A 14,675-nucleotide genomic window follows, 5' to 3' on the forward strand; every position below is an offset into this window, starting at 1 on the left:
GTGGGGTGCATGTATGTGGTTTAATACTGAAAATAAGGATACAAAAATCCTGCCAGGTGATGCTCCTGTAATTCTCAAGGAGCGGCAGTGATTTGTTATTTCACATTTTTCCTCACTCTATCCTTGCCCCTGACACACACACTGCAAGTCACTGATTGGAGCAGGCCAGTTCCTTCAGGTGAAGGGGCCTAGAGAAATGTCGGTGAATACCCAGTGAATACCACGCTGTGAAACTCTGCATCTGAGGCACGCAGTGGGGCTTTGGTTCTCTCCTCTCACCAGGGGTTTGACCTTTCAACCACCTCAGAAAAAAGGAAAGGTGGAAGCAGGAAGGGGGACCAGCAGCTCCAGGCAAGCAATGCTAATTAGCTCCAGCGTAATGACCCAACATCAGTTCTTAGCTGAATTTTAACAGTCCATTTGAAAACATTTTCTAGATAAATGAAAATGGAAAGAGCTCTAGAAAATGTTTAAGTGTTACATACTTAAAATAGTATATTTACTTATTGAAGTTAAATGCCAAGATGTAGAACTAGTGTGTTATTTTCTTGGTACAGATTACAATGCTGTGTTTCAGTGAAGGAGCTAATTGAAATGATTAGTAGATAGATGTAATCAGAAAAATATTAAATGAAGATAGTAATTTCTAAAGCAGGAAATAAAGACAGTTACAAGTCTGTTCTTATTTTTCCAATCTGTTATATAACTCCTCCCACCCATTAACCTTAACTAAATGTATGATTCATTTGTTAAACAAATACTGAGTTCCAGCTACGTGTAAGGCATCATAGGGGCAGAAGATACAGCAGTGAACATAACAGGTAAAACCCTCCCCCTCTGCCAAGGGGCAGGACAGGGAGGAAAGGGAAGACAGAGACAGGTGGAATATGGAGTGTTCAGTGTTGGTAAGTGCTAAGGAGAAAAAATGAAACAGGAGGTAAGATGCAGAGGGTGGTGGTGAAGGCAATGGGAGGTTGCCTTGAAAGCGGAGCTCAGTGTAGTCTCCATTTGAGTTAAAGACTGGAAATGAGCAAGGAAACAGTCTAAGGAAAGAAAGACTAATAGAGCAGCCAGCAGAGAGCTCTCTGCAGAGAGAGAGGGCGGACCTGTGTGGTCAGGGAATTGCAGGAAGAAGGCCCGTGGGGTTAGAGTGATGTCAGTGGTGGGAGAGTAGTACAAGATGGCGTCAGAAAGCTCGTAGGGGTTAGGTATACAGCCTTGTAGGCCATTATGAGGAGTTTGGCTTTTACTCTAGGTGAGACGGGAACCCACTGGAGAGTTTTAAGCAAAGACATGACATGGTCTCACTTAGGATTTAACAATTCTGGCTCCTTTTCGAGCGTAGACTGGAGGGGGCCAATTAGGAGGCTGCTGCAATAATCTAGGTGAGAGACGACGGCAAGGGTGAGAGATGATAGACCAGGGTGGTAGCAGTGGAGTAATGAAAAGTATGATTCCAGAAATATCCAAGACAATTTCCTGGCAGATTTGATGTGAGGTGTGATTAAAGAAGAACCAAGAATGACTTTAGTGTTGTTGGCCTGAGCAACTGGAAGAACAGAGTTGCCATTTATTGAGATGAGAAGGCTGCCAGAAGAGTAGAGGTAAATGTGTGAGTATGTGTGTGTTGGGGGGATGGAGGGAGAGTTGCACTGAAAGCATGAGCAAAGATTTAGACAAATTAGGATTGAGATGTCCATTAGACAACTAAGAAGAGATGTCAAGCAGGTAGTTGGATCTGTGAGACTCAGGGAAAAAGTCTGACCTGGAGAATATAAATGTTACAATCATCTGTGTGTGGATAGTATTGAAAGCCACAGGGCCAAAGGAGATCATCAAGAAAGCAGATAGGAAAGAGAAGAGGTCCAATCACTGAGCCCTGGGGTAATACAATATTTAAAAGGTCAGAGAGATTATATGGCCTGTTAATTACATTATATACTTAGGAACTATCCTTCATAGTCTGTATTTGGGGTTTTTAAGAAACAAAAGGTAGAGGTGCTCCCAAGAATTAAACTGAGCCGGGCGCAGTGGCTCATGCCTGTAATCCCAGCACTTTGGGAGGCTGAGGCAGGAGGATCGCTTGAGTCCAGAAGTTCAAGACCAGCCTGGGCAATATAGGGAGACTCCGTCTCTACAAAAACTGCAAAAAAAAAAAAAAAAAGGCTGGGCGTGTGGCACGTGCCTGTGGGAGGTCGAGGTTGCACCACTGCACCACTCCAGCCTGGGCAAAAGCAAGACCGTGTCTCAAAAAAAAGAAAAAAAAAATTAAACCAAAGCCAAAAGAAGATCACTTACAAAATACCGACATCTAGGTGTGAAGCTGGCAATGTTCCCAAGGTTTTTGTAAATAAGTTGATTCCAAACTGTTCACTATTGAGACCCCTCTGTGTGACATGTACCGATTACAAAGATGAATTTTGCATAGCATATTCTAAAATGCCCATTAGGTGGCAGAAAAACATTCAGTAAACCAACTGTGAGCTAGCTAGTGCTCACTCTTGTGCTCATTCACGGTCTCTCTCTCCACTCCCCTCCAACCTCCCAAAGAGCCCTCTGAACTTAAAGATGTATATGGCTATTAATGCACAACACCATAATCATAAAGAACGAAGACTGGTATTTTCTTCAGAGAGCCAACAGATATCATCAGTCTGTAAGATAATAGAGGCAAGCCAGGTGTACAGGGGATGAGGGTGTGCGTATGTTTCATTTGGTTTGGAAATGTATGAATTTGGACAGTCTTAAGAGGAGTAAATTGACTATAATGAGACTATTAGGCCTTATTTTTAAACTTTTGATATTTAAGCTTTTTAGCTTGGGGCAGTGTGAAGAAGTGTTTAGAAAGTAGAAAGCAAGAAAGCCTCTTGGAAAAAAAATAGACAAGATGTCTTACAACTAGCCTGATGTTTAAGCTTTCTGCAATACACCAAATCCCTAAATCACAAGTCTCTGTTTCAGTTTCAAAGTTTCTTCTTTTCTCACTCTCTTTAGGGCACTGGTCCCCAAACTTGCCTGAACATTGGGATGACCTGGGCAGCTTCAAAATATACTAGTGCCTGAGTTCTACCCACAGAGATTGTGATTTAAGTGGTCTTAGGTGTGGCCTGTCTTTGAAATTATTTAAAAGACCCCCAGATGATTCTCATAACAAAATAATTTTGAGAGCCACTGGGCTTAGCTAATATTGGATGTATAAATATAGACCTTCCCACAACTCAAACATGTTCCACCCTGTAAGACACGCAAGAGAACACTTCCACGTCAGCATATCCAAGTGCACTGTATGGCCTCAGCCTACAGAACCCTTAACTCTTAAATTTATCATCTATTGAACAATTTCTAACATCAAAATTTGTACTACTTTCAACACCAAACATCACTAATTAATGAAAGAAAAATACAGAGGAATTATGTAAGTTTCTTTTTGAAAATGTTTTATTTTGCTTGTTGTTGCAGAATGTGTTTTGTTTCCTATGGCACTGATAGTATTTATTTGTGCAATAGTATTATGCTTAACATATTGTTGGTCTTACATACCAAATTAAAATGGGTATTTTTTGCTGCTATTTAGCATCAGAAACTAAATGATAATACCTCTTCCTACTTCTTACTGAGGCTTTTCTGTGATACACCATTACTAAGTCAGGGGAAACCATGTGTACCATTCAGAGGTCCCCAAACAGGGCAGATACCACATCACCTTGCTGTGGATGACAAATGTAACCTTTGGCAGATCTTTTGCAACTCTGACCTTTGACAAAGGCATTAAACTCAGCACTGTAGCAATAAGATTTGGTGATTTATTTTTATATATATAAGCATATGCATATATGAATATATATGTGTGTATATTCAATCATGTTTGCATTGCCCATAAAATATTTTTAAAATTCGATCTTCTAGTCTTCATTTTAATGGATGACTGACAGTCCATTTGCATTTATTATGATTATTGACTTAACTTGGAATTAATGCTAATATTTTGTTTAGTGTTTCTTTTGATCATGATTTTTCCTTACTGTTTCCTCTCTCTTGCCTTCTTTCACAGTGTTTCTGTTCTTTTTTATTTTCTTCTGCTGGTTTTGAAGCTATACATTCTAATTCCATTATTTGTCTAGTTACCTTTCAATTGTTAATATGCATACTTCACAACGTATCTTATCCAGCCTATCCCAAAACAATACTTAGAATTCTGTCAGCTCATATTTTTTGTTATTATCTAATACTTAATACTGTTTTGTCTTTATACTGTCCCCACCAAAATAGTGTTTTTGGTTTTTGTTTTGTTTTGTTTCTTGAGACAGAGTCTCGCTCTGTCACCCAGGCTGGAGTGCAGTGGCACGATCTCAGCTCACTGCAAGCTCGGCCTCCCGGGTTCATGCCATTCTCCCGCCTCAGCCTCCCGAGTAGCTGGGACTACAGGCGCCCACCACTATGCCCAGCTAATTTTTTGTATATTTAGTAGGGACGGGGTTTCACCGTGTTAGCCAGGATGGTCTTGATCTCCTGACCTCGCGATCTGCCCGTCTCAGTCTCCCAAAGTGCAGGGATTACAGGTGTGAGCCACCGCGCCCGGGTTTGTTATCCTGTTTACTAATGTTTTTACTTATATTTATTGCATCTTACTTTTTGTTTTCTTTTTTTTTTTTTTTTTTTTTGAGACAGTCTTAATCTGTCACCCAGGCTGGAGGGCAGTGGTGCAATCTCAACTCACTGCAACCTCCACCTCCTGGGTTCAAGCGATCCTCCCACCTCAGACTCCTGAGTAGCTGCGACTACAGGCACATGCCACCAAGTCCGGCTAATTTTTTTGTATTTTTTTTAGTATAGACGGGTTTTCGCCATGTTGGCCAGGATGATATTGAACTCCTGGCCTCAAGTGATCCACCAGCCTTGCCCTCCCAAAGTGCTGGGATTATAGGCATGAGCCACCATGCCTGGGACATCTTACTTTTTCTTACCTCTGGGTTTAGTTTTCTTCTTCTTGACATAGAATTTCCTATTATTAATCTTTCAATAAAGATGCAGGAATGGTTAATGCTCAGTTTTTGTAGGTCTGAATATATCATTACATTACTCCCACTTATTGTTTAGCTGGATATTGAATTCTCTATTTTTTTTTTTTTGAGATGGCATCTTCTCTGTCGCCCAGGCTAGAGTGCAGTGGCACAATCGCTGCTCATTGCAACCTCACCTCAAACTCCCAGACTCAAGCAAGTCTGTCAGCTCAGTCTCCCAAGTAGCTGGAACAACAGGCATGCACCACCTTGCTCAACTCTCTCTTTTCCTTCCTTCCTTCCTTCCTTCCCTCCCTCCCTCCCTCCCTCCTTTCTTTCTTTCTTTTTCTTTCTTCCTTTCTTTCTTTTTCTTTCTTTCTTTCTCTCTTTCTTTCTTCTTTCTTTCTTTTTTCTTTCTTTCTTTTTTCCTTCCTTCCTTCCTTTCTTCTTTCTTTCTTTCTTCCTTCCTTCCCTCCCTCCCTCCCTCCCTCTCTCTCTCTCTCTCTCTCTCTCTTTCTTTCTTTCTTTCTTTCTTTCCTTCCTTCTTTCTTTCTTTCTTTTCTTCTTTCATAGAGACAAGGTCTCACAGTGTTCCCCAGGCTGGTTTAAAACTCATGGCCTCAAGTCAGCCTCTCACCTCAACCTCTGTAACTGCTAGGATTATAGGTGTGAGCCACAGCGCCCGGCCTGTATTCACTTCTGAAACTACTATTAGACGTACTGAACTTTCTCATCTATCCTTTATATCACCTAACTTTTCTTTCATATTAAATATATATCTCTTTTTTTCTCACCCCACACTCCAACATAAATTATACTGTATTGTCTGTTGCTTGAACTATTTCGTAATAATTAAACTTTGATGTTGAGAAATTACAACTTTATTGTACACTTCATTGCAACTTGAAATTCATGGTCTTAAAGTGAGATTTGAATTTCTATTGACCGCCTTTTAAAAAGTAATACCAAACCATAAAGTTAAAATTGATGTACATTGAGTCATATCTAAAACCACACATAAACATAAATTGTATTTCCTATTTTAATTTCAGGGGAACTACTGTTTGGGAAAGCTATTATTAGGTAAATGTTTTAAAAATTACTGTTTCTCATTTTCAGTCATAACCTAATGATCCCAGCAAGATAATGTCCTGTCTTCTAAGATGTGCATCAAGCCTGGTACATACTGAAAATCCTATAAGGTCCTGGATAATTTTTGTTTGATTATTCATTGAAGAAACATTTATTTTCCAATTGTGTGAAGTTTTTGACTGTTAATAAAAGAATCTGTCAACCATCAAAAGAAAAAAAATTATACTATATTGTGAGAGCTTTTCTCAGATTTCTTCGTATGCTTAATCAATATCCAACCTACGACTATGCGACGATATTTTTTTTTTCTGCAATTTGTTCTTTTCCAAGTCAGTCTTCTTTCGGGATATTGTATTTTGCTTCTTTTATCTTTTTGAATATATTAGTTTGGGGCAAAAGTAATTGCGGTTTTTCCATGACTTTTAATGGCAAAAAATGGAATTCCTTTTGCACCAACCTAATGTTAAGCACACTAATTTTAATGTTTCCTGTTGTCCTATCATTCCTAATTCTCAGGTGAGGACTCTCCCAGTTTTCTCATCAGCTGAACCTTCCTCCAGATGCCTAATTTCTTCATGTAGTTTGTAAGTTTTTACAATAAGCACATCCTCAGCAGGCATTTGTTGGCTTTGTTTTTGTTTTTGTTTTTGTTTTTTGAGACAGTGTCTCACTCTGCCGCCCAGGCTGGAGTGCAATGGCATGATCTCGGCTCACTGCAACCTCCACCTCCTGGGATCAAACAATTCTAGTGCCTCAGCTTCCCAAGTAGCTGGGATTATAGGCTCTTGCCACCATGCCTGGCTAATTTTTGTGTTTTGTTTTTTTTTTTGTGGAGACAGGGTTTCACCATGTTGGCCAGGCTGGTCTGGAACTCCTGACCTCATGCGATCCACCCGCCTTGCCCTCCCAAAGTTCTGGGATTACAGGCGTGAGCCACCACACCCGGCCATGAATTGTTTTTAGTGGAGATTCAGTATACCCTGTCTTGTTGAATTATTCCTCCAAGGTGACTTTGTACTTGGCGTCTGACAGAGTTCAGTGGATTACACTGCCTTTATTTCACTCAGCTTCATCTTAGGTTTTCACAGCATATGAGGACTATGAATTTGGGCCACACACCAGCATGTGGTACTGGCGGGGGTTTCCAATATTTTTTAGGTGACTATTTCTACCCTTGTTGCTAGGAGATAGCAAATTACTTTGCTACTTTTGCAAGCTGGGGGTAGATTTTCCTGTCCATATTTTATAGATAAGATAGTATTTTATTACCTTAGTTTTATGCAGGTGGCTTCATTTCAGCTCTCCACACTCATGGGATCTGAGATTTGGACTCTCTTCTCTCTATTGGTAATAAAACTCCAGCTCCAAGGCCTATATCTGGTTCTGAACCCCCCAGCAACCATCTCGGCTTCAGCTCATACTTATAGTTTTGTTCTTTCTCTTATTCTGACATCTAGGCTGGCTGACTTGCTTTCAACCCCCTGCCCCTCTCTCTCTCATCTCTATCCCTAGGTCTCTCTCTTTTTTCTGCTTCCTTAGTGTACTTATGATTTAATGTTTTCATTTAATTTCATCCAGCATTTCTGTGTGTCTGGAATAGGAAGAATTATTCTACATCATTCAGCCATATTGGTTGATATAATTTTAAAGTATCTTAAATCTTAATTAAAACAATATGAGGCCAGGCATGGTGGCTCACGCCTGTAATCCCAGCACTTTGGGAGGCCGAGGCGGGTGGATCACCTGAGATCAGGAGTTCGAGATCAGCCTGGCCAACATGGTGAAACCCCGTCTCTAGTAAAAATACAAAAAGTTAGCCGGGGGTGGTGGTGGGTGCCTGTAGTCCCAGCTATTCAGGAGGCTGAGGCAGGAGAATCGCTTGAATCTGGGAGACAGAGGTTGCAGTGAGCCGAGATTGTGCCATTGCACTTCAGCCTGGGCAACAAGAGTGAAACTCCATCTCAAAAAAAAAAAAAAAAAGGCAAAAATACATGTGTACGTATCCTTACAACATTGGAATACTGCCTGACATATACACTGCTAAGTAAATTATAGGTACTTAATAATAGCCAGCTTTTATTAAACACCATTTGCTAAGAATTGTTCTAACTTCTTTATGTGTCTTTACTCATTTACTCTTCATTACAATTTTATAAGGTTGGCACTATATCATTTCATACTATTATTTTATAAATGAGAAAACCAAGACACTGGGATATTAAATAATAGGATTTTAAATCCAGGAAGTCTATCTCCAAAGCTTTCCAGCTTTATTAAGATATACCTTAAATACAATAAAATGAACTAATTTTAAGTGTAGAATTTGATTCATTTTGACAAATTATACAGTCAAGTAACCGACATTATGATCATGATATCTATTAGAACACTTCCGTCACCCCAAAAAGCTCCCTTTGTCACTTTATAGTTAATCTTAACCCCTACCCACTCTCCTCTAGCAAACAGTGATCTGTTTTCTACTATAATTTTGCCTTTTCTAAATTTCTACATAAATGGAATTATATACGATGCAGTGTCTGGCTTCTTTTGCTTAGCATAATACATTTGAGAGTCACAGTGTTACAAATATTCATTGTTTATTACTTTTAATTGCTGAGGAGTATTCTATTAAATATATGGACCACATTTTGTTTATCCATCGTCAGTGGATGGACATTGAGTTGACTCCAGTTTGGAGTGTTCACAAATAAAACTGCTACGAATATTCCCATACAAATCTTTAGGGAGACATACGCTTTCATTTCTCTTGGATAAACATCTAGGTGTGAAATTACAAGATTTTATGTTTAACTTTTAAGAGACCAGGCATAGTGGCTCACATCTGTAATCTCAGCACTTTGGGAGGCCAAGGTGGGAGGATCTTTTGAGCTCAGGAGTTCAAGACCAGCCTAGGTAACATAGTGAGACCCCATCTCTATAAAAAAAAATTTTTTTTAATTAGCCAGGCTTGGTGGCACGCACCTGTGGTGCCAGCTACTCAGGTGGTTGAGGCGGGAAGATTGCTTAAGCCTGGGAGGTAAGGGCTGCAGTGAGCCATGATTGCACCACTGCACTCCAGCCTGGGTGACAGAGAAAGACTCTGTCTCTGCAGCCCCCCAAAAAAATTTTAGGCTGCGCACAGTGGCTCATGCCTATAATCCCAGCACTTTGGAAGGCCAAGGTGGGTGGATTACTCGACATCAGGAGTTTGAGACCAGCCTGACCAACATGGTGAAACCCTGTCTCTACTAAAAATACAAAAAATTATCCAGGCGGTGCCTGTAATCCCAGCTACTCAGGAGGCAGAGGCAAGAGAATCACTTGAACCCAGGAGGCAGAGGTTGCGGTGAGCCGAGATCACGCCATTGCACTCCAGCCTGGGCAACAAGAGCAAAAAAGTCTGTTTCAAAAAAAAGAAAGAAAATTAGCCATTACAGTGGGTATGTTATGATATCTCATTATGATTTTAATTTGCATTTCCCAAATGACTAATGACATTCGTCATCTGTATATCTTTGGTAAAATCTCTACTCAAATATTTTGCCCATATTTTAATTGAGTTATTTGCCTTTTACCTGTTGAATTGTAATCGCTCTTTACATGTTCTGAAAATAAGTCCTTTACCAAATATATACTTTGCACATGTTTTCTCCTGTCTGTGTGAAGTCTGTACTCTTAACCATTTCCTTCATTGCTTCTCAATATTTATTGAAATAATTGAGAAACGTCTGCAGGATAGTGACCCCTTCCTACTAGCAATTGTGTGTTTTAACGTTAACAAAAGGTAAGAAAACCCTGTTGACACTTTTGTTTGAAGACTGTAAGTTCACGTTTTCGCTATTTATCAAATCTCTTCCATTTTGGTACAGAATAGAACAGTCCTTTTTTGGATTTGAGGAATCGATGAGGTCACAGGTGTGATTACCTCTGAGTTCTCTGTCTTTACTATCCATTGAAAATAACTAGATAACTCTCAGCTCTGGGTAACTTGCCCTAAGGTGCCCTGTTTTTAATTTTCTAGTTGTTTTGTTTCATTATGGAGATTGACGGTTTCCAGCAGTTAGACCTAGAGAAGAGTGTACCTTCCAAAAAGACTACTCCTAAAAGGATTATCCATTTTGTTGACGGAGACATCATGGAAGAATATAGCACAGAGGAGGAGGAGGAAGAGGAAAAGGAGGAGCAGAGCACAAATTCAACACTTGACCCTGTAAGCTTAGTATATCAATATTAGGGAACATGGTGGGGGAGGCGGTGAATGAACAAGAGATTGAGCCAGACAAGGTTTATAGAAAGAATAGCTTTAAGCTAAGTCCTTGGTCTCCTTTTTTGCTTTCTAAATCCATGCATAGGCAACTTACAATTTTAATCATCTTGGTCTCTTCATCTGTGAGAGAGAAAATGGAACATATTATATAGAGCATTTTGAAATCTCTACATTAAAACAAATCTGCAGTCACCATTCCTCTTATTAACTACTCTATCTCAATTTCTCCTTTTTTCAGTCTAAACTTTCCTGGGGGCCCTACCTACGATTTTGGGCAGGACGAATAGCAAGCACCTCATTTTCTAGTAAGTACTGCTAAGGTTATTTTTTTCTATCCTAAACAAATATATATATCGATAGGCCCTCAGAGTATGTGGGACTTCCAATTGTGTAAGCCACTCCATCGCATCCTGAATAAGTGAGATCTGGGCTAAGCTTTCATTCCCAAAGGCACAGAACTTCGCATCCTCAGGCAGACCCTTCATCTTTTACCAACTCTCATCAGGAAATTCTTATCTCGGCCCAAATTTTATCTACTTCTAAAGTTCCTACTTATCTTTCTTAACCATACAAAACTGCTATAGATGCCTCTTTCATAGGACAGAGGGCAATATTTGAGGGCAATAATCAGTCCTCCCTGAGTTGACTCTTCTTCTGAATAAACTTCCAAGTTAAAAAAACAATGATTGTTGTATGACACAGTTCTAAGTTTCTAACTTCCCTCATCATAACTGCTTTATTATAAACATGAACTTTATCGATCCCTCCTGGGGGCATAATGAATGGGCTAAGTGAATACTTATAACAACTAAAATACTAAATCTTATTTTGCTTGACTTTCATCAATTTTTTTAAGACATAGTTGACAACATCTAATTACTCATTTCCTTCTAACTTGCACATCTTGTGAATATGATAGGAAGGCAAACTAAGAGTCTGAGAAAATAGAAATTGTATTAATAGCTCTTAGAAATTGATCTTCATTCATTCATTTAAAAAACATTAGTAAGTGTCTACTATATGCTCAGCACTGTGCTGGACCCTGGGACACAAAGATGAATGACAAGTCTCTGCTTTCAAGGGACTCAATATTCAGTGAGTCATATAGACCAGCAAACATGCTCGTAATTATAATTTGTTGTCACAGTTGCCAGGGTAGAAAGTGTATAGGGGCTCTGACCTGGAAGACTCGGGCATGCTGACATGTGGGGGAGACCCCTTAAGAGAGCTATGAAAGTGTGGCTGGCTAAGGCTAGCTTGAGGACCATGAAAGTGACCAGGGAATCTTTAGATTACAGTAAAAAGTAAAGATGGGGTGATTTAGGCAGATGGTATGAACCTTCAAGAAATAAGTGCTTTTACACAAGTGCAGAGGGTTAGTGATTTGGAAGTTACGTTGAAAATCCCGTGAATACCAACCCTACCCTGACCACAATAAGTTAACAGAAAAAAAAATGCTGTCTTCCAGAAAGCTCTCTACACTTCGGTTAAGGCAAAAGGGTTTGAAAAGATATGTTTTAGAGGGAGGGAATTGGAGAAGATTAGGTCAGGTAAAAGAAGCAAAACTCAATATGGGATTGAGAGTATGGAGAAGAAGAATGATTTGCATGTTGGGTTTTGATTTGAGATTGCAGGGATAGGATGTATGGTGAGCCTAGCTTCCTTGTGAGTGCCAAACAGAACTGCAGTGGTAAAATGCTCCTGACTGGGGCTTCAAGATTGTAGTGGAGGCATAAAGATGCTAGCAGTCAGTGCTGTGGTCTGTCTACACAGAGATTTTGTTTGAATGGAGTTGGAACTCAGACGACACAGGTAATTAATTTTTTCAATTTAAAATTCTAGTAGGTCATAAACAGGAAAGCTTCCTAAGATTTATTTTAATATTTTTTTAAAAAGTTATCTTCTACACATGTACTAGGCAGTGCAGCAAATAAACAGGACAAAGAGATAGCATATTAATGAAAAGATAAGACATATTTAAAAACAGCATCATTTTGATGCCCTATATGAGCAATATCCCAAGAGGTAGAATGAGTCAGAGGAATCAGAAAGTCCTATAATTCAGGGGTAAGAGAAGGCTGTCGGAAATCCTCTAATTGTAAAGGAAAACTTTTCTAGGAGACTTCTTTAGGAAACCACTCATTATTCATGCTATGCCTTTATCCCTGACTCTAACAATCCCAGTGCTGAGCCTGCAGGCCACCTTGCTACTGAAGGCAGAAAAGGAAGGCCTTAAACAACTTCTGAGAAGTCTGTCTGGATGCATGGAAGAATTCCTGATGTGGGTCTTGGTAACACTGGATTGAGTTTGGGTTTAATTTGAAATATACTTGGAGCAGATGTTTAGCCGGTATGCATGGGGATAATGAACAATACCTGTTCTGATTGCTCAGGACCCATGCTATACCTGTTGTTAAAGTATATTGAAAATCTCTCCTGATATATACATCTGGAAAAAATAGTTTATATATAATCCCATATAAAGATAGAAGATTTGACAAATTTCCTTTGAATCCTAGAATTTTTGAGAGGCCAAGGCAATTGAAATGTTTTGTCAGCCTTGAAGTTAAGTATAGTAATAGACCACTATTACTATACTATCAGAATAGTTTAAACTCTGGGCATCTCAACTGATGCGAAGCTTTAGTTAGTAATTCAGTTTACGCAAGTGCTCGTTCTTTCTTTTAGCATGTGAATTCCTTGGTGGAAGATTTGCTGTCTTCTTTGGTCTTACTCAACCCAAATATCAGTATGTGTTAAACGAGTTCTATAGGATACAAAACAAGGTATGTGACACTCTGATGGAAACAAGGGGCCTGAGATGGGAATATTGGTTGCTCCAAATTTAGGCCAGTATAGAGAAGTATTTTTCCCACCTGGTCATATGTACTATAATTTCACCAAGCTCCCATAGTCAGACTGACTTATTTTTCTAGTTCTGTTCACCCAGGGACACTTCTTCACATTTGCCTCACTCCTGCGAAGTTAGGATGTCATGAGCTGTGTTGTAGAAGAAGGTAGTTGGGTGAGAAGGCTCAGATTGCTTAAAGTAGAAGCTTCTTACATGGGCATTATATACAAGAGGGGGAGTTCAGAGGTCTTTGTTTGTACAGTTAAACATTTCCTTATTTCTCTCCAAAACAGAAAAGTGACAACAAAAGTGAAAGGAGAGGATCAAAGGCCCAGGCAGCTGAGGTTCCTAATGAAAAGTGTCACTTGGAGGCTGGGGTCCAAGAGTATGGAACCATACAACAGGATGTGACAGAGGCCATTCCTCAGTGAAGCACCTCATCCAGGGAGGGTCTGGTGGCAGATCCTAGCTCATGATGGCAGCAAAGACTGCAGTTTCCCTGGATCTGTTCCTTGGCCATTGATTACCATGGCAACAACACCAGAGGTAGCACTTCTGAGCCAGATCTGATCCTAATCTCTGTGTGACTTAGTCTCAAGCATCCAGGAATTACAAGCAATAATGAGAGTAATTTTGGACACTTTCTCAGAATAATTTCTATATTCAAGCCACCCCACCTCAACTCCACCCCTGTGATACAAGTCCCATGAGTACTGACATTTGCACAGTAGCATAAATGCCTTAAGGAACTTTGGGACTGGGAGTTTTTGGCTGAAATCCTCTGTCATGGGACGAGGGTACAGTAAAGAAGCTCTATTCCTCAGAAGAAAATTTGGGCACCGCAAAGTCTAAATAAATCCCCTTTCAGGATTTGATATAGTGTGTACTTCCAACAACCATCCTGGCGTAGTTGGGGATTGTTTTACAATAAGTAAACATTGCTAATAACTGTGTTACAAGATCATTATCAAGATCTTTAAGAATTAGGTACATCCCTCCAAATTAAAACAATTGATAAATAATATAAGCTCTAGAAAAAAATATTAATGGATTATTTTCTTATTTATTTGTCAAGAAATTTTCAAAACCTGGAAAGATCGAACATGGAAATCATTGTTAGATAACACAGGGTGTGCTGGCCAAAGTAACTGTGATACATTAATAGCAAAAAACAAACCAAAAAAAAAAAAAATGAAAAACACAGGGCCTGCAGTAGTAAGACATGAGTTCCAGTTTCACTTCTCCCATTTACTAGTTGTGTGATTTGAGATGTCTAGATTTCTGAGCTCCAGTCTACTTTGTAAAATATGGGTGACTTGACTTTGCTTGTTATTGTTATACAGAATTATGAGAAATAATAATTTATTGTTGTTTTAAGCTTTGGAGTGGTTTGTTATGCAGCCATATATAACTGAAATTATAGCTCTAAGAGAAGAGGAAGTTGGAATTAATTTAATATGAAATC

At 39.4% G+C, this 14,675-nt stretch overlaps 1 protein-coding gene across 10 annotated transcripts, besides 2 other annotated features; it reads left to right on the forward strand.

Annotated features, from left to right (window-relative positions):
• Positions 27–568: an enhancer, noted in NCBI's record as "NANOG-H3K27ac hESC enhancer chr1:222909786-222910327 (GRCh37/hg19 assembly coordinates)". NCBI's record gives its function as "activates a minimal SCP1, AML or CMV promoter by ChIP-STARR-seq in naive and primed H9 embryonic stem cells {active_cell/tissue: H9 hESC(naive and primed)}" and the evidence as "EXISTENCE:reporter gene assay evidence [ECO:0000049][PMID:30033119]".
• FAM177B (family with sequence similarity 177 member B) lies at positions 785–14,587 on the forward strand. Of its 10 annotated transcripts, none has more exons than NR_136691.2 (6): positions 785–905; positions 1,461–1,604; positions 10,114–10,302; positions 10,598–10,664; positions 12,544–13,145; positions 13,504–14,388. NR_136691.2 is itself a non-coding variant. In NM_001394345.1 (6 exons), exons 3-6 carry the CDS (start codon positions 10,129–10,131, stop codon positions 13,639–13,641), a joined length of 477 nt encoding a protein of 158 aa, NP_001381274.1. In that variant the 5' UTR covers positions 785–905; positions 1,487–1,604; positions 10,114–10,128; the 3' UTR covers positions 13,642–14,587. The 10 variants fall into 10 exon arrangements, 9 of the variants coding, with proteins under 9 accessions (NP_001381274.1, NP_997351.2, XP_047276558.1 ...); NM_001394345.1 differs by having other exon boundaries at positions 1,487–1,604; positions 13,048–13,145; positions 13,504–14,587; NM_207468.3 differs by having other exon boundaries at positions 13,048–13,145.
• Positions 2,498–2,547: a silencer, noted in NCBI's record as "silent region_1836". NCBI's record gives its function as "represses an Ori minimal core promoter by ATAC-STARR-seq in GM12878 lymphoblastoid cells {active_cell/tissue: GM12878}" and the evidence as "EXISTENCE:reporter gene assay evidence [ECO:0000049][PMID:35858748]".
• Positions 14,588–14,675: the final 88 nt, after the last annotated feature.

The sequence above is a fragment of the Homo sapiens genome, chromosome 1, assembly GCF_000001405.40.
Source record: "Homo sapiens chromosome 1, GRCh38.p14 Primary Assembly".
Lineage (NCBI taxonomy): Eukaryota > Metazoa > Chordata > Mammalia > Primates > Hominidae > Homo > Homo sapiens.